Source organism: Homo sapiens, chromosome 11, assembly GCF_000001405.40.
Source record: "Homo sapiens chromosome 11, GRCh38.p14 Primary Assembly".
Taxonomy (NCBI): Eukaryota; Metazoa; Chordata; class Mammalia; order Primates; family Hominidae; genus Homo; species Homo sapiens.
This window is the reverse complement of record NC_000011.10, coordinates 120671022-120697999: the sequence shown is the minus strand read 5'-3', so window position 1 is coordinate 120697999 and position 26978 is coordinate 120671022. Positions and strand designations below refer to the sequence as shown.

At 47.8% G+C, this 26978-nt stretch overlaps 1 protein-coding gene across 22 annotated transcripts in view, besides 2 other annotated features; it reads right to left on the bottom strand.

The window, feature by feature from the left end:
• Window positions 1–26978, bottom strand: part of GRIK4 (glutamate ionotropic receptor kainate type subunit 4) — a 477159-nt gene that overhangs the window by 290907 nt on the left and 159274 nt on the right. The gene's annotated exons all lie outside the window — the stretch shown is intronic.
• Window positions 1745–2244: an enhancer, noted in NCBI's record as "H3K4me1 hESC enhancer chr11:120566465-120566964 (GRCh37/hg19 assembly coordinates)". NCBI's record gives its function as "activates a minimal SCP1, AML or CMV promoter by ChIP-STARR-seq in primed H9 embryonic stem cells {active_cell/tissue: H9 hESC(primed)}" and the evidence as "EXISTENCE:reporter gene assay evidence [ECO:0000049][PMID:30033119]".
• Window positions 16393–16894: an enhancer, noted in NCBI's record as "H3K4me1 hESC enhancer chr11:120551815-120552316 (GRCh37/hg19 assembly coordinates)". NCBI's record gives its function as "activates a minimal SCP1, AML or CMV promoter by ChIP-STARR-seq in primed H9 embryonic stem cells {active_cell/tissue: H9 hESC(primed)}" and the evidence as "EXISTENCE:reporter gene assay evidence [ECO:0000049][PMID:30033119]".

The following is a 26978-nucleotide window of genomic DNA, read 5'->3' as shown; positions in this document are numbered from 1 at the left end:
CGCCACCCCACCCCCAGAGACTCGGGAAAGGGGAGATAGTGGCCTCTTCTATGAGCAGGAGGAGGTAAGGAGCAGTGCATCAGTGATGTGAGAAGACGGCACGGCAGGTGCAGGAGCTGTGACCCTCCATCGAGGCCACTCTAGCTTCCCTTCACCACTGCCAGCCTTCCCCAGAAAGGACCAGCCCTGCCTTGACAGCCCCAACTCTCCACACCGTCCCCATATAAATCACGCCCTAGGAGTATGCAGAGGCCAACACACCCGGATCATGCCTTCATAAAAGCCACCAGAGCTCTGCAGCCCATTGCTAGCTCATTTGGAGCCTCAGAAGCTACCTTTCCTCTGGCCATCCACTGTGCTAAAGGAATACAAATTCTTTTTTTTGGAGACAGAGTCTCACTCTGTCGCCCAGACTGGAGTGCAATGGTGCAATCTCGGCTCACCACAACTTCTGTCTTTCGGGCTCAAGCAATTCTCCTGCCTCAGCCTCCCCAGTAGCTAGGATTACAGGCGCATGCCACCGTACCCAGCTAATTTTTGTATTTGAGTAGAGACGGGGTTTCACCATGTTGACCAGGCTGGTCTTGAACTCCTGACCTCAGGTGATCCTCCTGCCTCAGCCTCCCAAGATGCTGGGATTACAGGCGTGAGCCACTGCGCCCAGCTCCATAAACTCTTATAGGTCAGACTTAGCAAACTCACTTCCAACACAGGGGGCATTCAGGATTTGGGGTTAGCTGATGCTGAGGACTGTCTGCCACTGTTCCCCTGAATCAGCACAGCCAACCAAAGGCTCTCTCTCATGGTCCCTCCTTCAAGAATAGAACCTACTGCGTAACTCATGTTGAACCACAGGCAGGGCGGAGCAGCCTGGGGTGGAACTGGAGTGATACCGTCAGGAAGGCAGAGGAAAAGAGCTGGGAAGCGAACGGGTTGAAGGATGAGCTGAGGAGGCAGAGGCAGATCCATTCATAAGAAGAAACATAACAAACGTCATGGGGTGTGGCAACGAGGACACTGAATAAGGGCTGGCTGCCAGGGTTCCAGACATGGGGCTGCCCCACAACAGTCATATCTTTGCCCATAGCGCAGTTTATCTTCTGGAAAATGAAGGGGCTGGACCTGTTCTGGGCTCTGACAGCCTAAGAGTTAGGAAGCTGGTTGGCAAGGAGGGTGCAAAGAGCAGAGCCCTGGCCCTCTAGGGGGCGCTCCCATTGGCAATGGTACCATGTTGAGGGAGTCCCCCTCAGCTCCCACCTCTCCCTCCGGTCCACCCCTGCTGCCGCTGCCTTGGCCAGACCCTCATCCTCTCTCACCTGGCCTGTGGCACCAGCTTCCTCCAGGTCCCCCTTTCCCAACCCCAAGGCCATTCTGGCTGCTTCTATTCTCTTCCAAAGGGAAATATAAGGAAGCCACCGATGAACTCAGAGCTCTGAGTCCCCTTCTTCAACCCCAGCTCTCTCACCTTGGGCCCCCCCAGATTTAAGCTTCACAGCCCCCTCTACCACATGCCCCCCCACTGACACCTCTATCTAGAACCATTTTGCTCAAAACATAGCTCAGACTTCACCTCCCCTAGGAAGCTCTCCCGGAAAGGCTGAGGCTCTTTTCAAGTCTGGACTCTTGAGCTGGGGTGGGCCCTGCCCCACCCAATCCACCAAACAGGACTCTGTGGATAGCGTAAGTCTGCTGTACAGGACACATCTCTTCCCTGGTTGCCACTGGGACAGACACACTTCGGTGCATATGTGCTCACGGGCAACCCCTGCAGATTCTTCCTCTCGCTCTGCACTCCCAGGGTTAATTAGCCTGCAGCATCTACAGGGCTGCTTTCTCCTTTAATAGTCAATTAGATATTGTTAGCTCTATTGTCATTTATAGGACAAGTGACAGAGGCACTCCCAGGGTCCCTACTCCATCTTGCAGAGGCAGGCAGCCCAGATCCCTCTGCTAGAGGAGGGAGAGCTGGGGGCCTGCTCCTGGAAGTGGGGTTCTCCTAGGAAGAGAAGGTCACGAGGCCCCTGGGAGGAGGCATGTGAGAGCCTGGGCCCTCCTCCTACTGGTCCATGGAGCAGGCCTCTGTGTGAGGGGTGCAAGGTCACCCAGGCCCACTCTGGTCTTGTCCCTTCAATTGCTCCTTCCAGAGGCTGCACTCAGTTGGGTCCTTGGCTGCCCTCAGTTATCTGCATGGCGGCTCCAACTGCCAACCTGCCAGGCCTCTGCAGGGCCAATCAATATCCAGCCAGGCGGCCCTGCTAATGACACTGCATCTCACCTTGGTCATAGGGGTGTCAGCCTACTGTTGCTGCAGCTCAAAACAGGACCTCAGCCTCACTAACAAGGCAAAGACAGCCCTGCCTCCCACCCGTGGCGGCCGTCCAGGCCTGGGAGGCAGTGGGTAGGCCAGACCCCGCAGGCTGACCTCTTCTTCTTCTTCTGCATAAATGAAAGTTCTGACAAGCGTGGCCTCAAGTGTCCTTGGCGCTGAAATGCTAACATCTTGATATGGGCAAAGAAACCTTTCTGGCACTCCTCTATGGAAACAGAGTTTGTCTTTCTCACAGGGGCCTGCATGAAATGTGTGTCTTCGAAGCAATCCCTTGGCGAGCCACAGAAGGCCCTTCACGGTAGGACATGGCAGCCACCTGGGCCAGAGGGAGGGCCAGGGCCTGGGTGGGAGAGCTGCCCAATGCCAGGATGGGCTGGAAGAGAGCTTGGGCTCCATGGGTGGCTGAAGGCCCTCAGCCTACTCACAGCCATGTTGGGGTGGCCCTATAGCTGGCAAACTCACAGCAAGAAACAGCCCAGCTCGTGAGAATGAACACCCCCCATGCTCCTGGGTCCCAAGGCTCCCTGACCTCCAGCAGGAGGAGAGGGCTGGGGGCATCCCTGGCTCCCCCTCTTTGAGAGTGTGGATTGTAAGTAGCACAGGGCTTTGAAAGGAGTGAGAGAAGGCAGCAGGACTGGCTGAGGCTGAGGCTCGGGATTCTTTTTTTAATACCTTCCTAAATGCTCTGAAGGGGAAAAGGAAATAATCAGGTTCCTGTGATGAAGCCAAGAATGATAATCTAGGAGGAAGTAAAGCTGCGGGAGCCAATGGGAAGTGTTACGGGCTGCAGTGTTTTATGACCTGTGTTGCTTGCCTGTCTTCTTCTTTTTATAAAGGGAAGCAAATTAAAGGGCTTAGATATTAATCAGGCCACTGAAAGACAACAATGAACCCGGGCACTTGCAGGTCAAGTGGGCTCCAGACAGCCTCTTCTCCCAGGCCCCCTGGAGCTCTGCTGCATCCCAGGAGACCTAAGCCTCAGTGTTCACCTCCTGCACCCAAGGCTGGGCTGTTAACCAGGCTCCTAGAAGTAGGCGCTAGCTGGCAGGGACCTCAGGAAGCTGGCACATTTCTGGTTTCCAAACTATGCCCCCCAGAGCACCCTCAGTGGCTGCAGTGAAATGTTGAGAGGTTGGGTTGGGGGGTGGGTGGGGAAACAGAGCTCAACCTCCAATCTCTTGTCATTCTCCTCCTAGAGCAGCTCACTTTTTGCTGTTGGGATTCTGTGTGTGATTTTATTTGAACAAAAGGTTCAACCACTAAAAACTAAGTTTGGAGACCACTGATCTGTTCTGATCATCTCATTCTACAGATGAGGGCCTCCAAGGCTGAGAGGCGGAAGAGCCTGTCTTAGGTCGCAGGATATGAATGGCAAATCTAAGACTCAGACCAAGGTACCTTGACATTTAGCCCAGGGTTCTTTTCCCTACTGCACTCTTCCTTCAATAATTTCATCTGCTCTCGTGCTTTCTGTCACTGACAATGCCAAAGCAATTCCTCCAGCCCAGATCCCTCCCTCATGCTTTAGGCCTATGCATCCAGCTGTCTACTGGACGTCTCGTCCAGATGCCATGGGCACTTGCAGTCCACCCAAGCTCACCATCTGCCCCCTGCTGAATGTCTCCCTTGGTTGGTGGCCCACCTAGTCACCCAAGGCAGCTCCTGGATTTCTACAGGAGGGAATGAAAGGCAATTGGGCTGACAGAAAATGGTGCTAAGACAATTTTCTGTCTTAAGACAGAAAAGGTGACGCCCTTGTCTCAGAGGTGCATCTACACGGCAAATGCACCGCTCTCCTCTGCTTCTGTGCTTAACTCAGGGGCTGAAGATGCTGGCAGGAGCCCCTCCCGGCTCAGCCACTACAGCCCTCCAAGGTGGAAAATGGGAGCTATTTATGCCTCCTCCTTCATGCCCACTACCCCACATCCAATCCATGGCCAAATCCTGATAAACTGGCTTCCAAAAGGCCTTTTTACTTTATCTTCCTTTCTCTATCTGCTCTACAAGAGAGGTCCAGGCCTCCTTACCTTTTCTATGTCACCTTTGGTGGGCAGAGACTGTCTTTCTTATCTACCTCTCTATACCCAGGACTTTCCCAGTATCTGACACATACTAGGTACCCAAGAAATATTTATTGAAAGGACTAACTGATAGACGGATGGATGGATGGATGGACAGACTACTCCAACAGTCTCTTAACTGGTCTCTCTTTAAAGCTGTTTCCTTCATCTTACTGCTGGGCTGATGTATCTAAAATATAAATTGCCAGCCTGGCACGGTGGTCATGCCTGCAATCCCAGCACTTTGGGAGGCCACGCCAGGCGAATCACTTGAGGTCAGGAGTTCAAGACCAGCCTGGCCAACATGGTGAAACCCTATCTCTACTAAAAATATAAAAATTAGCCAGGCATGGTGGTGCATGCCTATAATCCCAGCTGCTCAGGAGGCTGAGGCAGGAGAGTCGCTTGAACCTGGAAGGCAGGGGTTGCAGTAAGCCAAGATTGCACCACTGCACTCCAGCCTGGACAACAGAGAGAGACTCTGTCTCAAAAAATAATAATAATAATAAAATAAAATCATAAAATGTAAATTGCCAAGACAGCCTCTTTACGTAAAACCCCTCTTTTAAGAGTTGTCTGGGCTGGGCACAGTGGCTCACGCCTGTAATCCCAGCACTTTGGGAGGCCAAGGTGGGTGGATGACCTGAGATCCAGAGTTCAAGACCAGCCTGGCCAACATGGTGAAAACCCATCTCTACTAAAAATACAAAAATTAGCTGGGCATGGTGGTGGGAGCCTGTAATCCCAGCTACTCAGGAGGCCGAGGCAGGAGAATTGCTTGAACCCAGGAGGCAGAGGTTGCAGTGAGCTGAGATCATACCACTGCCCTCCAGCCTGGGTGACAAGAGCGAGACTGAGTCTCAGAAAAAAAAGAGTTGCCTGTTTCTCCAAAACAAAGTTCAAGCTTCCTACTAAGGCACACCGGGTCTCCATCGTTTGGGTTCCTCTCCAGTCTCGTCTTCCCGACTGTCTGTCCTCCTTGTAACTCTCCTCCGGAGCAACCTTCCCCTTCATCCGGCCAGCTTTAACTCAGCTCCAGGGACGTGTCTCTCAAAAACCACTTCTGCCTCCACCGCTCCTGTTCTGGGATGTTTGGTGCCTCACCCCCGGGCTCCACAGTGCAAATCTCTATCCCCGCCATGGTCACATGAATTGTCAAGATCTGTTTATGCACCACCTCCCCCACTAGCCTGCTCGCTCCTTGAACACAAGCTCCATGTCTCACCCATCTCTGTATCCCCAGCACTCAGCACAAAGACAATGGTTTAGGTTTTAAACGAGTAACTGTGCCCCGGTGGGGCTAATTCTGAGAAGCAGAGCCTTAAAAATCTTCCTGGTGCTGAGTATGCCCTGGAGGGTTGGAGCCAGCTTTCCTTGGGCCTGCCCCAGATCATCACAGGCTCTGGTCACCTCCCCAGAGACAGATGTCTTCCTACCCCCAAGCAAGTGCCATGGAAGACAACTGTCATGCCAGGTACCACTGACACTTGGCCACTCTGCCTTGTTGGGCCCAGCAGCCATCACATCCTCCCCTGGCTGGCTGGGCACAGGGAGAGATGGAAGGGACATCACCCATAGAGGGGCTGTGTTCAGTGCAATCCAACCACATGCACATCATAGGAGGGTATTGCTCACCGAAGACCTAATCAGGCGCAGCAAAGGACTGGGGCAGCATCCACCAGTGGAGAAAATTCCCATACTCTAAACTGGAGAATGCTCCCCATCCAGCTTGGGAACAGGCAACAGTACAGCAGTTCCTAAATACTCCCCTTAAGGCCACTGGCAGGGGATCAGCAGGCACATGAGCCCCACTGCATACAAGGCAGGAAATAAGCAAAGTTCAGGATAAAGGGAGAGGCATTTGGAACAAATCAAGTGAGTTTTAAAATTTCAGGCCATGCCAGAAGAAAGCCACTGGTCTCCAGGACCTGGGTTCAATGGGGATGAGGAAAACATTCCCTCACCTAAATGCTACTCTTACATTGCTCCCACTGCAAACCCCTCTCTCCTACTTTCTTTAAAGGAGGCTGCATAGAGTGGAAAAAATACTTTTGGGGGTCATCTCACAGCCCATGTCCAAATCCTAGGTGTTATCATTTATTAGCTATATGGTCTTGAGAAAGTTATTTAACAATGCTGAGCCTCAGTTTCCTTAACTGCAAAGATGGGGCAATAATCTACATCTCACATGATTCTGTGAGAGTTCCCTGAAATCACACATCGAAGTGTCTTGCACAAGGCTGGTCACATCGCAGGGGCCTGGTGTCTATTGGTTCCCTCCTCCTTCCACCCTGAATCTTCCCAACCTTAACTTCTGAGCTTCTGAGCTCTCAATGTCTCCCAAGCCTCCATCCCAGGCCTGAGGAGTCGGCCACAGTGAGAATAAGACCATTCCCAGAAAAGGCGAAGTTTAGGGTAGGTGAATTGAAAACAGTAGATGCCGAGATAAAATGAGAAACATGCAACAGCGTCATCAGAGAGAAAGCAGCAAACACTCCCCAGAACAGGGGTCCCTGACTGCCCCCCTATTCAGACCATTCTTGAAACACATTATGGAATTTTGGCTTTCTTGTTCTAAAAAGAAGCCAAGGAGGGAGACTGAATGCAAAGAAAGGCAATAAAAATGATTAAAGGAATTAGAAGGCTTGACCTATAAAGGGAGGTTAAATGAACATAATATGTGGAACCTAGAGAACGAGGGCCTACAAGGACGTGATAACTTCCCATAAATATGCGAGACAGAGCCACATAAAAGAAGGGCAAGAATTATTTCAGGCAGCTTGGGACACCATTAAAAGAAGAAATGGCCTGAAACTAAAATAAGAGAAAGTTAAATCTGGGCCTTAGGAACATTGGCTGGTGAGGAGGGTAAGGAACAAGACACCTGGCTGTTGGTGCAAAGTCATCAGAAAGCAAAGCCACAGGTCCCGGGGCTGCTGTCCCCATTTGGGAGAAATGGCCCCTCTGGGACCCATCTTGGTTGCTCAGGTGGTATTCTCACTCTGCAGGTTCAACTACTGTTACCCGGCTTCCAATTCATGACAGGTAGGGCCCTGGCTCCAGCTGCCTGGCTGCCCATGCTCGACTTCACTCTTAGAATAAAAAGAGATTGGCGCAGCCAGTTCTTGCTGCAGTGTGGGGGCTCAGCTGGTGAGAGCGTGAAACCAGGAGGCAGGGTCACAGGTTTCAGCCCCATGTGTGCTTTGCCAAGGATTGCAGTGGGAGAATGTGGCTGGACAATAGAGATGTGCCTAGAAGCACAAGCCCACACAAAAGATCATTCTCGAACATCAAGCTGCAGGGCATTCTATGTGAACACTACCCACAAACATCTTACCATGCTCTCAGGAGTGAGCATTTTTTATTCAGCACTTCAACACCAGACACTAAAGCCACTCACGCACCAGGACGACAGGGCAGCTATGCTTCAGCATTTAGGGTCTGGAGTGACGAGGGGAGCAGGTAGAAGCTGACTCTGAGCATTTTCCTAACCTGTTTGCACAGATCTCCTACCCAACCATAAATCACTTTTACAGTCCTTCTCAAACCTCACATAAAATTTATGTTGCTTTTTGCCTGAAATTGACTAAGGAAAAAAAAACTTTAATTACAATAAGAGACACCTGGAGCAAAACACATGGAAAGCCCATTCGATACTCATTTACTCATTCGATCAATAAATATTTATCGAGCACCAGGAATGCACAAGGCACCAAAGGAGCTGTGGTGGAGACCATGGAGATGAAAGGGTGTTCTCCTGCCTTCAAGGAGTTTGCCCTGGCGGGGGTGTGGGAGTAACCAACAGACAGAGACAAAAGCTGCTATGAGATGAGCAGAGTGTGATTTATTTTAACAGAGGAGGAAACTATCAGGTAACTCAGAAGAGAAATGACTCATTTGGACTGGGAGGATCAGGGAAGTTTCCAGAAAGGAGGTGATATGTGATCTGGGTCTGAGGTAAAGGGTAGACTTTTCATCAGGTGAAGATGGCAGGAAAGGACATTTCAGGCACAAGGAACACCACCAAGAAAGCCAAGGGACAAAGAAAGTGCTGGTTGTCTACAGGAATACTGAGTGGCCAAGTGAACTCTAGAACAGGGGTGCAGTGTAGGGTTGGGAGGGAATGGAGGAAGATGATGAAGGAAAGGAGGGTGGGTATGGCTGGATCATGGAAGGGATACTGCACACTAAGGAGTTGGTATTTCATAAATAAGAGAAACCCTAAGAAATTCCTGGGCTGTCAACAACAGCCAGGTCTGTATTTTGGGAAGAAAAGCATGGGTTCAACATTTAGAATAGGCTCAAGAAGTGAGGGATGGGAGGCAGGTAGGAGGCTCTTGCCAGGCAAGAGGTTATGAAGGCTCGACGAGGGTAAGGGCAGAGGCAATGGAAACTTCCGGTTTCCATAGAATTATGTCCGTGTTATCTCAATATTGTAGCAGCACTATTCCTCAACCTGTTCCTTCTGCCTGGAAGGCCCTCCACCCATCCCTGTGGCTTACCCAAGCCCTGACTGGGCTTGGTGCTCCCAATGCAGCAGGGGCCTTCTTCCATCCTAGCACCTAGGACTATTGTTATTGATCATCTGGTTACTTGTCAGCCTCTACCATCAGACTGTGAAGTCCTGAAGGGTAGGACTTTGGTCTTTATCTCTGTTTTCCCAAGACCTGGTGCAGAAAGGTTTCTGTGATGGAAGGGAATATCCATACAATGCTCTCTGCACATACAACCTCTCTTTCTTCCATACCACATCCATAAGCACACTCCATTCTGGCATATATATGGGCTACTCCCATGTTCAACCTCTCTCTTACATCTCACGCCCTTTCTGACCCCCATTGCTCTACTTCCAATGTAAAGCATCCTTGACTAGCCTCTCTCAACCCCATTAAAATGTGATTAATTATTTTCGGCTCTCATGCAGATCTCCATATTGGATTATCTGGGCTGAAACACAATCTGTTTGCTGGTATCAAAATGCTGCTACTCACCCATGGGATTAACACTCTGACAAAATCATTAGAAACCTGATGAAGTATCGAGGCCTCCTGGGCTTGCTGAACACTCATTCCTCATCCCAGTGAATGCCTTCTTCCTGGGCCCACAGTTACACTCCCATCCATTTCCCTGCCTTCTTCATGGTGAGGCAGCCCAGACACTCAAGGGAATGCCTTAAACAGTGTTTGCTCCTAGTTGGCTGGGCCAGCTACCAAGACACCCAGCTAAGAGCTGCTCTTGTAATCCTGTGGTTTTTATGTGTTAATAGTAAGCATCTGACTTCCTCTTCGGGGTAGGGTGGGATAGTTTGTGGCCAATCAATGCTTCCACTAAGAACTAGAAATGCTAGAAGAAATATAACAATCATCTGTTTCAAGGCACCATTGACCTGCTGGAGCAAGAAGGATGGGAGAGGATACAGTTACTGAGGGGGGAAAGTGTGAAGAGGTGAGCTGATATTCTGTAATCACTTCCGGAGGGTATGTCATTTCTAGGCCCAGGATGAGAGGCTGAGAACCCAGGTTTGCAAGAAGCAAAGACTGCTGCTGGGGGACAAAGAAGCCAGCAGAGCTCTGGCAGCCTTGGGACTAGAGAGAGAAAATTAAGGACTTGAGGGTCCTCAAATATAGGGTCCCAATTTTCTCCTTAAGTCATTTACAGAATTCTGAAGCTGAATGGAGGAGAAGGCCAAAAAATCTCAGCCGAAAGTCTCTATAAAGCAGAGAGTGTTTTCTGGCCATTCTGAGGCACTGAACAGCAAGACTAGAATTGAGGACCTGCTGGGGAGGGGACCCAGTAAACACAGGAGGCTCTCAACTAATGGTGGCTCTGCTCTGGGAAAGGAGTGAGCCAGAGGTAAACTAAATCTGACCAAAACACAACCCGGCAGGGACTCAGTTCAGGCTTTAATTGGATTAAGATCATTGGTTTTACTCTGCCTAGCAATGAGTAAAACACCTCTTGAGGAAGATCACAGCAGGTACAGCCTATACAATGTCGAGCATTCAATAAAAAAGTTATTAGGCAGATCCAACTACAGGATCATATGGCCAAAATCTAAGAGGGAAAAAACAACAACAACACACAATAGAAACAGATTCACAGGTGATCTAAACAGACAAGTTAACAGAAAAGGACTTTAAATGTGATAAATGTATTCCAAAAAAATGGAAAGAAAATACAAAAAATAGATGAAAATAAAGAATCTTACCAGAAATTGAAAACAACAAAAAACAATCACTTGGAAATTCTACAAGTGATTAAGAAACATCTTAAAGCGCTGGAGGTTCATTAAAGCAGTATGGTAAAGTGGAAAAAGCACTAGAACCCAAGAGTGAAAAGACCCAAGGCATGGTCCCTGACTCTGCCTGTATCCAGCTAAGACAGCCTGGGGAACCCGCTTCACTCCTGAGCCTTGGTTTCCATATCTGTCAAATGGGATAATGTCATCTACTCTATTTACATAAGCGTCAAGCAGACAAAATTAAATAACACACATAAGATCTCTTTATAAATTACTAATCATACAAATGTAAGGTATCATTATCATAATAGTCTAGCATGAATTCAAAACAGTGCTTCTGCTCCATCACCAGAAGTATTTTATGTCAATGTCAGGTAATTAGTGTGCCCTTGACTAATTATTATAAAGGATTTTAACCAGAGAAAGCTAAGAGGGAAATAATAGCACAACAGCCAACTCACTGTTACTTATGTTGGAGTTAATAACGCACTTTGGGAATTATCCCTGGACAACTGAAAACCCTAAACTAGCTTTTTCCGCTGCTCTGCCTATGCGTGGATCACCACCTTCAGTTTCCCAGGTGGTGTATGCTCATGGAATGCAAGCTCATATTAATGTATGCCGATAAAACATAATCAGCAAGGTAAATCTGAAGCAGAAATACCTAAATGCTTTCCAAAGCCAACGGCAATAACGTTGAGACAGCCTGTTATTTGGATTCTCCACATCACTGCTTCCCTCTGTTAGCATATTTAATGGAGAGTAACATGCAAGCCTTCACATATAGACGTGATGCAGCCCATCCACTACCAGCAGGACTTGTGAGCTTCCCTGGTATGGTACACAGGCACTGTGTGAGGCCCCCTGGGGAATACAACTATTGTAAGGCCATGAGCCTGGCCTAAAAGGAACTTTCAGTTTTTAGGAAAGATACCGTGTGCTTAAATAATTATAATACAAGGTAGACAGTGATTTAGGTACTATAAGTGGCACAGTTAAAGAAGTACAGGTATTTGTGTGAAAGCTGATTTGGAATTGGGTTGATAATAGACTTCACGGTTGAGGCAGCAACAGAGTTTGGCCTTGAAAGACAGAAAAATGGATATTCTAAGCAGAGGGCAGGGTATGAGTAAAGTCACACTTTAAAAATGCAGGATAGGTATGAAGAATTGGGTTCAGATTGATGGATGTATCATGCTTTTTTTTAAGAAACTAACATTTATTATGCGCTTACGATGTGCCACATAGTTTACATACATTATCCCATTTGGTGTCCAAAATAATCCCTTGAATCACATGTAATTAATCCCACTTTAAAGGTATACTGAGACTCAAAAGTAAATTAATTTACCCAACATCCCTCAGCTGAAATCTACAGCCTAAGTAGATCAACACATGTTGAACTCTGCGCACAGCTGGAGTTGGAGAGAGGTAGCGCTGCAGATGATTTGGAAGTTGTTTACTTCCAGGGAGGGCACAAGATTGCCCAGAAAGGGTGAGGGAGGCACAAAGGGCTTAGGGCAGAAGAATCATCAGCAAAAGAGACAAGAAAGGAGTTGTTAGCAATAAGAGAAGGACTGAGAAAGACGACCATAGCCTAATGGAAACCAAGATCAAGAGAGAGCTTCAAAAAGCTTCAGAACTGCAACTGCTGCAAAAGTGAAGGGGGATGAGATGAGGAAGACCAAGAAAATGCCATTGGGTTGGTGGTCTTCAAAAAAATGAGTTTGATAGGGAAAAGAATGCCTAGGTCCAGGTGTGTGCATGGAGAAAAAGCCGGCCTGCCCCAGGGACATGGGGCACAGCAACAGAACAGCCTAAAGCAGAGCTTTGAACACTTGTCTGATGGCATCATCTGGGGGTACCTATTAAAAATATTAACTTCCAAGTCCCATCCTAGTCCCACCAATCAGAATCTCTGGCAGGTGAGGGGTACGGGCGGACCCAGGAGGTATCCCAGAAGAGCCCTACATGACAAGGGTTAGACCCATGTTTCTCAAACTTTAATGAACATGAGAATCACCTGGGGATTTGATGAAAATGCAGACACTGATTTAGTACCTCTGGGATAGGACTGGAGATTTTGGATTTTCACACTCTCTTAGGTGATGTCAATGCTGCTGGTCTGAGGGTCATATTTTTAACGACAATGAACTAGACTAAAGCTCACTTGTCCTCCAGAGAGGGAGGTGTCAACACCTGGTTCCTCTTGGCACCTTTCCTTTCCAGTACCTGAAGACTAAGCTCCAAGCTCCTTTCCACACTCACCGACAGATGGCAGCAGATCTAAATGTCATCTTCCACAGAAGTACTGACTCAGAGGTTCCCTTCCATTCCATCTGACTTCCTTCACAGCTTAAAAAGCACCTTTATGGCCAGGTGTGGTGGCTCATGCCTGTAATCCCAGCACTTTGGGAGGCTGAGGCAGGCGGATCACGAGGTCAGGAGATCGAGACCACAGTGAAACCCCGTCTCTACTAAAAATACAAAAAATTAGCCGGGCGCGGTGGCGGGCGCCTGTAGTCCCAGCTACTCGGAGGCTGAGGCAGGATAATGGCGTGAAGCCGGGAGGCGGAGCTTGCAGTGAGCTGAGATCGCGCCACTGCACTCCAGCCTGGGCGACAGAGCGAGACTCCGTCTCCAAAAAAAAAAAGCATCTTTATTTACTCCTCCAAGATGAATCACCGTGTCAGGTAAGCACAGAAAAGCTTTCCTTGACTACTCTGGTAAAGAAAGGGTGAATTCTCCTGCACCTAGGCTCTTTACCATATATTTAGAGTCTGCATCATTCATTGAACACTTAAATATGTTTTGCCTTGCTAAAGTAACTAAACGGTCTTGCACTGTCATTCACTTTTCATGTGTGTTCGTATTGTCTCCACAAACTCTTAGAGGTTAGGGATCAAATAATGTCAATTTTCTTCTTAACCCTGACTTACAATGGCTTGGCCATACTATGAATAACTGAATGGGCCAACCGACCATCAATTAAATCAAATTCATATTCCATTTGTTTCGCTTTGATTTCTTTCCTTTTTTATTTCTTAGAAACTGGCTCTTGCTCTGTCACCCAGATGGGAGTGCAGTAGTGAGATCTCAGTTCACTGCAGCCTCAATCTCCCAGGCTCAAGTGATTCTCCTGCCTCAGCCTCCCAAATAGCTGGAACTACAAGCATGCACCATTACGCCCAACTAATTTTATTTTTTTGTAGAGCCAGGGTCTCCCTATGTTGCCCAGGCTGGTCTCGAACTCCTGGCCTCAAGCAATCCTCCCACCTCAGCCTCCCAAAGTGTTGGGATTACAGGTGTGAGCCATTACACCCAGCCTCACTTTGCTTTCTTCCCAGAGAAACAAAAACAAAAAAAGTCTTGCCAGAAAGTGTTAGTGGTCTGGAAAAGTTCTGTACTTATTTGCAAGTCTGTGTTCAGAATCTTCCAACACATTGCTAGGGATAACGTTTTCTAGCCTGGCAAACGGGTACTCCAGAGCTTGTGCTGACTTTATCTAAAAACCTGCTGGTCTGTCAAGACCCTTCTTTACTTTTCTATGGCTAGCCTCATCATTGACCAATATGCCCCCTAGGCACAAACTTCACAGCTTTCCACTCTTTACTTCCAGTTACAATGTCTTGGCTGGTTAAGTCTGGTCTATACTTTAGTCCTGCAGTTCATTATGCATTCACTAGACAATGTCTATTTTGCAAATCTTTCTTTTTTGAGCAAATATTTAGGTTGCTCAGTCCTGGGCTCACCATGCCACTTTCCAGACATTCTCTCCCTAGGACACGGCCTGGTCCCACGGCTCTGAATACCACTTATATGTCAAAGATTCTCCATTTATGTCGCCACCTGGGACCTCTTCTTCTAATATCTTATGTCCATCTGACTCCCTGACATCTATACTTGGATGTTTTACAATCATTTCTCATTTAACATGTGCCACATAGAATTCTTGATCTCCCCGCCCCTACCCCAAGGTCTCTCCTCCCTTCTTCCCCTTCTTAATAAATGATACTTTGGCTACCTACTTGGTCATTGTTGAGCTTTCCTTCATCATTCACATCCAGCCTACTACCAAGACTAGTCAGTTCAACTTCAAAAAGATGTTTACTTCTCACCATCTCCATTGTTACCCTCCAAGCCAACATCATCTCTGGCCTGGATTATGAAATAGTACCTAAAGCCATTTTTTTAGCTTTACACTCATTCATCTATCGGTTCATGCAACAGTTTATGGAGTGTCCACTCTGTGTTAGTCAATGCTCTTAAACCAGGGCAGCAAGCCCAGGAAAGACCAGTGAGTAAGTCTGCTACAATGAAGGTATCTCTGAGGAACGATGACACACAAGGAGGGTATAAGCAACAAGAGAGAGGGGGAGCAGTATCAGGGAGCGTGTCACAGAGAACACGACACTTAACCTGGGTTTTAGAGAACGAGTAAGCATTCACCAGGCAGACACTTGGAACAAAAGCCTTCTAAGTGTAGTGACAGAGGTGGAAAAGTGTGTCATGTTCAGGGATCCTCAAGCAGAGAAAAGTTGAGAAGGTCCATGGAGAGGTGGCTGGTGAGGTAGGGAGGGGCTTGGATCCTATCCTATAGGCAGTGTGAGCATGGGGAAGGGTTTAAGCAGGGAAGAGGCCACATATCTATGCAACCCACTTCCCATGTATAAGATGGAAACTGTGTCGGGCACTGGGAATATGGTTCAAAATGCAGAAATGGCATTTTACCTGTAGGATAAATAGGAGTTGGCCAGATGGGAAAAAAAAAAAAAAAAGATGGGGGCAAATAGTGGTCTAGACAGAGACAAGAGCATGCATGGATACGGCCCTAAATCAGGAAGCCTCTTGGTGCACTCAAGAAACTGATACTAGGCCAGTGTGGGCAGAACTTGGCGAGAGAAAGAAAAAGCATCAAGAGCTGCAAATGGAGGGAGTCAAGACCAGACCATGCTACAGGCCAAATAAGCAAGTGTGTCTCCTCTTTGAAGGACTCTCCTGGGGACCCAGACCCACTCCCTGCTCAAGTGAAGCCTCGCTGGGCCTCTGGCTGCCACCATCTTGCCTTCTGCCAGCAGCAGGGAAGCCCTCCCGCCACCCGTCTGCCTGTCCATTGGCCGCCAAGGTGACACCACCAAATGCATTTCTTTCCAGCCTGTGCTCTGAGAGACACCAGGATTTGCATTTCAATTCGACTTCCTTCTGACGATTCCAGCCAAAGCTTGGAAATCACTGCCCCTGTCACTGTCTCAGCAGCTCGGTTTTTCTTCTTTCCTCCCTCCACCTCCAGGGAGGGCTGTTTTTATCTTGACATCTCACTCCTCGATGCTGAGAAAAGTCATCCTTAACAGCAGTTTTATTGCCCAGTGATATTAACACAATGAAGGAAATCATTGCTAATTTTTATGAATTATCTCATCATCTGCAACTAATTAACAGCTGCTGAAAGAGCAGGCATTATGCTTCCCCTTGGAGAGCCTTTACCCGGAGCACTTCTGAGATGGCCCTGCCCCTGCTGTCAAGGGGGACCCTCGGCTACAGACAGCTCCTCCTCTTCAACAGGGCTCTGTCCATCTCTGTCCCCTCCAGCCCATTTCTGCCCCTTCCTGCCTGTTCCCAGCCTGGGGGACTCAGTGGTTGCTGGGCTGCCTGTGACGGGGATGATTTAGGTTAGCTGGAAACTTTATTAAAATCCAAACTAAGTGGGCCGCCGCTGTTCTCTGTTCTCATTACGCTCCCTCTCCAAAATCAGGCCTTGGCCTCTGTGCCTCACCGAATGCATCAAACTGAGTGAACAGGCAGCCAGCAGCTAATTGGCACTTAACCAGGGGATAATCTAGACCAGGGTGGAGAGTAAATACTTAGCGGGGCAAAATGAAGAGAGGGAGGGAAAACAGCAGAGGAGAAGGACAGGAGGGAGGCTAAAGGCGCAGCACCTGTTGCAGCCTCGAGAGAGAGGAACCGCACAGGAACATGGAATCCCAGGCTGGGCAGGACCTCAGAGGCCACAGGAGGAGAAAACTGAGGCTTGGAGAGCTGATGTGAGCCTTGCAAATTCCACAGTCTCAGAGCCCAGGACTCACCCCACTCCTGCGCTTCCCTCCTGCACCCTGAGCTTTCCTGGTCACCAATCCTCCCTGGCCCCTTACCCCAGGCCCTCTCTAGTCTTCCTCCCCAATCCCTTTCTTTTTGATGATCCTGTCTTTGAGTTTCCTGACATCTGGCTAAAGCCCTGGCAGCCACTGGCTGTGTCTTAGAGATGAAGGGAAGAGCACTGAGGAATGGGGTAAAAAGGTGAAAAGGCCCAAGGCCAGCCCACTCTGTTTGTGGGGTGGTCTTCCTTGGGTGGAGTCGGGCATCAGGGCCAGGCAGTGCAGGGGCCCCTGTGATGCTGGGCCAAGCACACACAGTCCTCCTTCTAAAGGTCAGTGGCTGCCCATGATATATTTTGCCGTAACTGAAAAGGCCAGAGACTCAACGTTAGTGTTACAGGGAGAAGAGGGTCCTTGGAGAGAGACCCTGAAATCCTACTTTGGTATTGGCCAAGGTCTCCTTCTCCTCTCTTCCAAACTCAAAGACAAATATCCAGCTCCCTTCGCCTCTATCCAGCATGTTCCAGGTGCTTTGCTGTCCTATTTCAGGTTGCATAACTTAGCTCAGTTAGTCCCTGTTTCCTGCCCTGATGTCCCCATTTTCAAGCCAGTGAGTATGTGGCCCCAATTGAAACAAACACCTTTTCCACAGCAGCCCAGGATAAGAATGAGTCATTCCTACATTCACTTGACTAATGTTTACTGAACACCTACTATGGAGCAAGGCCGAGGGAGTCAGAGGTAATGAGACATAGTCTTTGCCTTGAGAGACTGATGCTGAAACTCATGTCACCACGCCATGTGGGGTGAGGCTGAGGTGCAGTCACCCATATGGTGGCACTGGAGCCCCAGAGAGGGCAAGATCCACTCTCAGAGGAGATAGAAAAGGCCATCGGGCCAGGCACAGTGGCTCACGTCTGTAATACTTAGGGAGCACTTAGGGAGGCCGGGGCAGGTTGATCACCTGAGATCAGGAGCTTGAGACCAGCCTGGCCAACATGGCAAAACCCCATCTCTACTAAAAATATAAAAATTAGCCAGGCATGCTGGAGCGCACCTGTAGTCCCAGCTACTTGGGAGGCTGAGGCAGGAGAATCACTTGAGCCTGGGAGGTGGCAGTTGCAATGAGCTAAGATCACGCCACTGCACTCCAGCCTGGGTGACAGAGTGAGACTCTATCTCAAGAAAAGAAAGGGCCATCAGAGAAGGGCCTTCAGAGGAGGAGGTCATATATAAGCAAGGCCTTGAATGGTGAATAAAATTCTGCTGGGCAGGCAAGGTGAGAAGAAGAGTATTCTAGGCAGTGGAGACAGCAAAGGCCCAGCGATGTGAGAGGCAAGGATGTTCTAGGGACTCCAGCGTCTGCAGTACAGAATTCATGGGTATTGAGTGTTTACGGTAGGGATAGGGATGGGAACGATGTTGAAAGATGAAGCCACCTGGATCATCTGCAGCCTGCCTGTGAAGGCTTCCCATGCCCTGAAAAGGAGTTTGAGCTTCCTCCTGCAAAGACAGAACTGAGAAAGAGTGAGGATGGGAGGCATGAGAGAGCCCAAAGGTTAGCATGTCTGAGGTGGGCAGGGGAGGTTCAGTTAGACAAGTCCTCCCTGCCAGGAGGGTCCCTGCTCTCTTCATGTGTCCAGAGGGTGGAGACACTACAGGTTCCCATCTTGGTGCCTCTGGGCCTGGCACTGCCCAGCTGCTCCCTGCACCATCACAACTCTAGGCAGACACCCTGCCTGCCATGCAGTGGCCTGTCCCAGGACTGTATTAGATGGCCCTGCATGGGCCATGCTCCAGGGACCACTGGCAGCTCCTTCCCAGTGGGCTGCAAAACACTGGGGAAAAGAACAGAGAAGCCAAGAGCTGCATTCTCCATACTCTTTCCTGGGCTCCGGGGGCACTAGGTTTTCCATTCTTTTCCTGGGCTGTTTACTCAAAAAGTTAAGCTTAACCAAAAGAGAAGAAGGGCACTGACTCTGACGGAGGGCAGGGCAGTATAAGGGACATGTGGTCTCTCCAGAGGCAGACAGGGCTTGGATTTGAACACCAGCTAAGTTATGAATTTCTCTGAGCCTCTGGTTTTTCATCTGTGAAATGGAGGTGGTGGTAGGATTAATCATTTTGAAGAGCATTTACCATACTGCCTGGCACATAATAAATACTGAATAAATGCTGCTGTTATTATAAAGCTAGATATTTCTAGCTCCAGAAGTCCCAACTCTTATCTCAAACTCTTCTCTCCCTTTAGGGTGTTCTCTGCACTCCCACCCCTATTCCCTCTATTTTAAGGATTGGCTCTTTAAAAACAAAAACAAAAACAAACAAACAAAAAAAAAAAACCAGGCCAGGCGTGGTGGCTCATACCTGTAATCCCAGCACTTTGGGAGGCCGAGGCATGTGGATCACAAGGTCGGGAGTTCGAGACCAGCCTGGCCAAGATGGTGAAACCCTGTCTCTATTAAAAATACAAAAAATTAACCAGGTGTGGTGGCACGTACCTGTAATCCCAGCTACATGGGAGGCTGGGGCAGGAGAATTGCTTGAACCCGGTGGGTGGAGGTTGTAGTGAGCCAAGATCGTGCCACTTTACTCCAGCCTGGATGACGGAGCAAGACTCCGTCTCAAAAACAAAAACTAAAACAAAAAAAAAAAAACCCTTCTAGTGGAGCCCCTCGCCTGGTCTATAGGACCACCAGCCAAGCCACTCCTCTATTTTGGCCCCTTCCCTTGGTGCTTTCCTGAAAGAGAAGCACCCGGTACACTTAGCTGGCTGAATAAATAGCAATAATAATAAATGTTCAGCTATTAGCCGCATAAGTAATCAAAGATCACTGCCATATGATTCCTGGTTAAACATCATTTGGAATCTAATAAATAAGCGACTATAAATAAAGCCAGCATGCAGACTTGGCCCTTCTGAGCACCACAGCCTCAGCTCTCAATTTTAACCTAACGGTGCCTTTAGCACTAACCCTGTGGTTCCATTTTAAGTTAGTTCCTCTCTCTCAAGTGTCTGAAAAGGAAACCAGCAGAGGTGGGGACAAGAAGGGGGATGAGGTGTGGGGTCTGCCCTAAAGAAACGGAGGTTGTCCCATGGGTCTTGGGCAGACCTCAATCACACCTACCTTCTCTTGCACCTCCAGAGCCACAGGCACTGCCCAGAGGCCTCGGGGTCTCTGCAGAGGGGAGCACAGCAGGGAGGAGTCTAGTGTAATAGATAGAGCATGGGGTTGGCGCCAGGGAGTCTGGCTCAAATCCAGCATCTTCCATGTTCTGCATGGGTGACCTTGGTCCCTCCACACCTCAGTTTCCACACCCAAATAGCAGACATTACCAAACCTACCTCTGGAGGTTGTTATAAAAATTAATCATATAACTTATGGAAGTGATGGGCACAGTAGATGCTCAATAAACATGAATGTCATCCCCTCTCCTGTGATGTACAGTATCTTAAAGGGATGGTCCACTGCCCTCTCTCTTACTCTGCTCTAGGCAGCAACAAAAGAAATATCAAACAGGGAAAAGGAGGCGCAAAATGGCAATGTCCCCACGGTCCCTGGACCACCACAGTCACCACTGCCTAACTCCAGAGCTGATGTCTCAGCACTTAATACTTCCTTATTTCGTATCGCCCTCTAGTTCCTTCATGTCTGAGAGTCTGGCCTTTCCACATTTAGAACATGTACCAACAAAATATCCTATTTCTTTGTATTTTCCATAGAGCTGAGCCCTAAACAGGGCATTGTCAGTATTAAGTAAGTACCAGAGAACAGAGGAACAGGCAGGACCAGCTTCAGATCCTAAGTGTTCTCATTCTTCACACATAGCAGTACTCTCCTACATCACATTGCTTCTTAAAGCACACATAGATCTGTGCCCTTCTGGAAGGATGGCAGGCAGAATAAGACAGAGTCTGCTGGGACTGTGGCGGGATGTTATTCTCTCTAGACCCCATGGCAGGAAATAAACACATCATTCTGAGCGGAGCCCAGCGGAGCCCACACAACACAGGCTCAGATCACACTCAGCTCTCAGGCTACTCCTTTAGTGCCCTGACATGTTAGGAGTGGCGAGATTACTAAATCAACGTGATAAAATACTTCCTGTTACACAGCCCCTTCCCAGCTGTCTCTTCCCTGGTGGCATAATCTCAGTTGCAGTAATGGAAGAGCCAACATGTCCAGTTCCCTCTGTCCATTGAAAAAAACACATCAGCTTCGGTGCTCTGGGATGCCTGGTTCTTATGCAAAATGGTTGATGATCACAGGAGTAAGGCAACTTGGGCCAAGGATCGAGCTATGGACAGTTTCCAAGTGTGCAGTCCCTGCACATGGAACTGCTCATGAGAAGGTTTTCCAGCGGCTTAGCCTCCCACATTACAAGAACAGTTGTTGTAGAAAGAATAATGGCCCCCAAAGATGCCCACATCCTAAAACCCAGTCCCTGCAAATGCATTACCTTCCATGGTGCTATGGTTTGGACATGGTTTGTTTGTCCCCATCAAACTCATGTTGAAATTTTATCCCTAATGTGGCAGTGCTGGGAAGTGGGGCCCGGTAGGAGGTGTTTGGGTTGTGGGGGTGGATTCCTCATGAATGGCTTGGTGCTGTTCTGCAGTGAGTGAGTTCTTGCTCTCAAGCGACAGGACTATTTATTGCAGGAATGGATTCCTTCCCAAGAGAGTGTGGGTTGTTAGAAAGTCAAGACACCCGTCAGGTTTTTCCCTCTTTGCACATATCTGCCTCCCCTTTTGATCTTCTCTGCCATGTTGTGATGCAGTACGAAAGCTCTCACCAGAAGCCAGGGCCACGCCCTGGAGCTTCCCAGCCTGCAGAACTATGAGCTAAATAAACCTCTTTTCTTTACAAATTGCCTAGGCTTGGGTGTTCTTTTACAGCAACACAAAATGGACTAAGACACGTGGCAAAAGGAGCTTTGCAAATGTGAGTAAGGTTACAGATCTTGAGGCAGGGAGATGATCCTGGCTTATCCTGGGAGATTCAATCGAATCTCATGAGTCCTTAAGATTGGAGAACCTTTCCCAGCTGAGCTCAGTGAGCTTGTGAGGCGAGAATGACTCAACCCACCATTACTGGCCTTGAAAATGGAGGAAGAGGAAAATGGAGCCAGGGGATGCAGCGGCCTCTAGAAGCTGGGAATGGCTCTCAGCTGACAGCCAGCAAGAAAATGGGGCCCCCCATCCTATAACCACAAGGAAATAATTCCATCCACAACCCAAATGAGCAGGTTCTCTCCTAGAGCCTTCAGACAGGAATGCAACCCCACTAAAATCTTAGCTTTAGCTCAGTTAAGACTTCTGACCTACAGGCTGTAAGATCATAATTTTGTCTTATTTAAGCCACTAAGTTTGTGAAAATATGTCATGGCAGCAATGGAAAACTACAGTAATAATAATTATGGTAGAACTATCGATAATAACTATTATTTATGGGCTTCCTACTGTCAGGCACTGTCCTACCTATTTTCCATACATTAGCTCATGTAAACCTCAACAATTCTATAAGGTGAGTATTATTATCCCCATTTCATAGTAGGAAACAGAGACCAAATAATTTGCCCAAGATCACATGCTGAAATTGCAATTCAATTGCAGGTTTGTACATCAATAAAGCCCACACCTGTCTCACTACCCTATGATGCCATCCAGTTGCTTGAGCAAACTACTATTTTTTAAATAAATAAAAAAATAGAAACTAATATTTCTTATATGCCACACACTGTGCATGCTACTTCACCTGTGTCCTCTCAATTAATGCAACAATTAAAGATAAGCTCTGTTATCTCCAGTCCAAAGATGGAAAATTGAGTGTGAGAATGGATGAGTAATTTGCCTACAAGCACTTAGCTAGTAAGTGGGATTCAGGCACACAAATTTTGGATCCAGGCCAGACTAGGCTATGAAGACTTGAATGTGAACTCCAGACCCAGAAGGGAGTCCCACCCAGGCTGCAACTATAAGCCAACTGCAGCAACTCTCCCAGAGAAGGTGGCCCTGCCTCCCCTATGGGACCCTCCCAGGGGCCACCGTGCTCTTTGGGAGATCATTCCTATGGCAGATGAAGAAGAGGTTGGTTAAATAAAGGGAAAGCGCCAAAGGGGGCAATCCACAGATGATTTCACTTACATACATCCAATTTCATCTCCACCAACTCCACTTATTTCCATTTAGCAAACTTAATTCCTTTAGTGCTTTAGGTTTTCCAAATTGACTCTACAGGGGAAACTGGCATTCAACCATAATTTCCAGATAAAGGCCCTTTTAATTTCAGAAACTCCAGCAGCTCCAGGAGGTGCAAGGAAAATTCCTTAACTGTGGCCTCTGGAAAGTTCTCCCTCTTCTCCAGGCTGCATGCCTGAGATTTCTGGGTGGCTGCCCAGAGGTCTGGGGCCACCTATTGCAATTCTACTCAGGCTTGTGGTTGGTGCCCCCTTGGAGCAGCTCCATAACAGAGATTCCTGTGGGGGCCCCCAGGGCTATATGTTTCCCTTTTCTGTCATTGCTGGGAAAATCCCTGTTCTTTCATCTGGGAGCTGAAAGCTCAAAGTCTCATGTTGTTAGATCCCTGCCGCTAAGGGAAATTTATAACTGTTGCTAGATAACTGGCATTCCCTCCCCCACCTGTGTCACTCCATGCTTCAAAGACCATGTGCTAGAAAGGATGGGAACAACACAGCTTGGAGGAAGCCAAGGAGGTGATTCCACTTAGGGAAGCTCCCAGCACCTGGCCCTTCAATGCAGTGATTTTTAGACACTGGGCAACCTGCTGCAGTGGTTTCAAAGAGCAGCCTTGCTTCTGGCTACTGAAAGCAAAGCCCAACCTATGAAGAGCCAGGGCAGGGGGATGTGTTTTATAGGCACGTGTCGAGATCTAGATTGGCTCTCTTTAACCCAAAGACTGGACAGCCAGGGCTGGGTGGGAATGGGTTCAACAAGGGGCTCTGAACCTAGAGGCCAGATCCCCACCAGGCTGGAGCAGATACCTATAGTGGATGAAAAGCAGGTGAAAAGAGTGCCTGCTTCTGATTTGGGGGATCACATCCTAATTAGGATGGAGAAAAAAGAAAACTGATTTAGAGGAGGGTGACCAGGTTGATGAATTGGATCCAATCCATGAGATGGAAGGAACCATCAAAGGCACTAATGGTGCATCTCTGGAAGAAAGAAGATGCCGGGAGCCATGAAATGATATTGCTGCAGGTCTCAGAGGGGCCATCACAGGGAAGAGCACCAGGCCTGTTCTGTATGGCCCCGAAGAACAGACAGAGCTAGAACGGTAGGCACAGAGAGATAGAGTCAGGCTCAATAGAAAAACCAATGGTCAGAATGATTCAAAGGAGGAATGAGTTACTTGAGGGCCCTGCCAGCATGCAGATTTTGTGAATCTAAGGAAAAGCAAACAGTCAGAACTGGTCAAGGCTCCCCCAGTTTCCTGAAACTACCAACAATGGCAGTTTCAGGAAAGAGCTGGAGGCCAGGGGCAGTCCCAGCTGAGATGCTAGGTCCAGGTTCCGGTCTCCAGGCTCCTGCAAGACTGAGACAAAAAGGTCTGACCATAGTCCCAGAGGAGCTTGGGCACAGCCAGAGCATCAGAGTGAAGTCTCAGACCTGAGGAGAAGACTTAGGCACTGCAGGGGAAACACAAGCGCTGGTGGACTTGTGTTTGCCAAGTCCTGGTGTTTGGATCTGAGGGACAAGGTAAGACCAACAGTCAAAACTCAGGTTGATGCTGAGTCATTAAACTGCTGGCTTGGGCTTCCTCCAAATAGGAACAAGATTTGCCTCAGGACCTGGGGTTTGGCTGCAGGGATCAGACAATATGGGGACAGGGAGCCAGCAGCATCACTGCACAGTCCTCGGCAAGCAGCACTTGTTAAGGGCTGCCTCTGTGTCCGTGAGACCGCCCATCTCTGCCTTCCAAAAGCTTTCAAATGTAAAGCTCCTTTGGGACCTCCCTTGGGTCTCCATCATTCATTCATTCAGTAGATATTTAGTGGACACCTACTATACACCATGCACTCAGTCTTAAGTGCTGGGGAAACAGCAGAGAACTAAACAAAGGGTTTTTCCCCATGGGAGGACTCAGACAATAAACAATAGGACCCATATGTCAGATGATGATGAATGTTATAGAAAAATAAAGCAGAGAAGAAGGACAGAAAGTGTCAGGGGCAGAGGAGGGGATAGAGGATGGTCTCACAGCCAATATCATACCGACTGGGCAAAAGCTGGGAGCATACCCTTTGAAAACTGGCACAAGACAGGTATGCCCTCTCTCACCACTCCTATTCAACATAGTATTGGAAGTTCTGGCCAGGGCAATCAGGCAAGAGAAAGAAGTAAAGCATATTCAAATAGGAAGAGAGGAAATCAAATTATCTCTGTTTGCAGATGACATGATTATATATTTAGAAAAGCCTGTCATCTCAGCCCAAAAACTCCTTAAGCTGATAAGCAACTTCAGCAAAGTCTTAGGATACAAAATCAATGTGCAAAAATCACAAGCATTCCTAAACACCAATAATAGACAGAGAGCCAAATCACGAGCAAACTCGCATTCACAATTGCTACAAAGAGAATAAAATACCTAGGAATACAACTTTAGAGGGATGTGAAGGACCTCTTCAAGGAGAACTACAAACTGCTGCTCAAGGAAATAAGAGAGGACACAAACGGAAAAACATTCCATGCTCATGGATAGGAAGAATGAATACCGTGAAAATGGCCATACTGCCCAAAGTAATTCACAGATTCGATGCTATTCCCATCAAAGCTACCATTGACTCTGTTCACAGAATTAGAAAAAACACTTTAAATTTCTTTTTTCTATTTTTTTTTTAAGACAGAGTTTCACTCTTGTTGACCAGGCTGGAGTGCAGTGGTGCAATCCTGGCTCACTGCAACCTCTGCCTTCCAGTTTCAAGTGATTCTCCTGTCTCAGCCTCCTGAGTAGCTGGGATTGCAGGTGCCTGACATCATGCCTTGCTAATTTTTGTATTTTTAGTAGAGACGGGGTTTCACCATGTTGACCAAGCTGGTCTCAAACTCCCGAACTCATGATCCGCCTGCCTCAGCCACCCAAAGTGCTGGGATTACAGGCGTGAGCCACTGTGCCTGGCTTAAATTTCATATGGAACCAAAAAAGAGCCCGTATAGCCAAGACGATCCTAAGCAAAAAGAACAAAGCTGGAGGCATCACACTATGTGACTTCAAACTATACTACAAGGCTACAGTAACCAAAACAGCATGGTACTGGTGCCAAAACAGATATACAGATCAATAGAACAGAACGGAGACCTCAGAAATACAACATACGTCTACAACCATCTCACCTTTGACAAACCTGGCAAAAACAAGCAACGAGGAAAGGATTCTGTATTTAATAAATGGTGTTGGGAAAACTGGCTAGCCATAAGAAGAAAACCTAGGCAATACCATTCAGGACATAGGCATGGGTGAAGACTTCATGACTAAAACACCAAAAGCAATGGCAACATAAGCCAAAATTGACAAATGGGATCTAATTAAACTAAAGAGCTTCTGCACAGCAAAAAAACTATCATCAGAGAGAACAGGCAACCTGCAGAATGGGAGAAAATTTTTGCAATCTATCCATCTGACAAGGGCTAATATCCAGAATCTACAAGGAACTTAAACAAATTTACAAGAAAAAAACAAACAACCCCATCAAAAAGTGGGCAAAGGATATGAACAGACATATTGCAAAAGAAGACATTTACGCGGCCAACAAACATATGAAAAAAAGCTCATCATCACTGGCCATTACAGAAATCCAAATCAAAATGAGATATCCATGAGAAATCCAAATCCACAATGAGATATCATCTCACGCCAGTTAGAATGGCGATCATTAAAAAGTCAGGAAACAACAGATGCTGGAGAGGATGTGGAGAAATAGTAATGCTTTTACACTGTTGGTGGGAGTGTAAATTAGTTCAACCATTGTGGCAGACAGTGTGGCGATTCCTCAAGGATCTAGAGCTAGAAATACCTTTTGACCCAGTAATCCCATTACTGGGTATATACCCAAAGGATTATAAATCAGTCTACTCTAAAGACATATGGACACGTAAGTTTACTGCAGCACTATTCACAACAGCAAAGACTTGGAACCAACCCAAATGCCCATCAGTGATAGACTGGATAAAGAAAATGTGGCACATATATACCATGGAATACTATGTAGCCATAAAAAAGAATGAGTTCATGTCC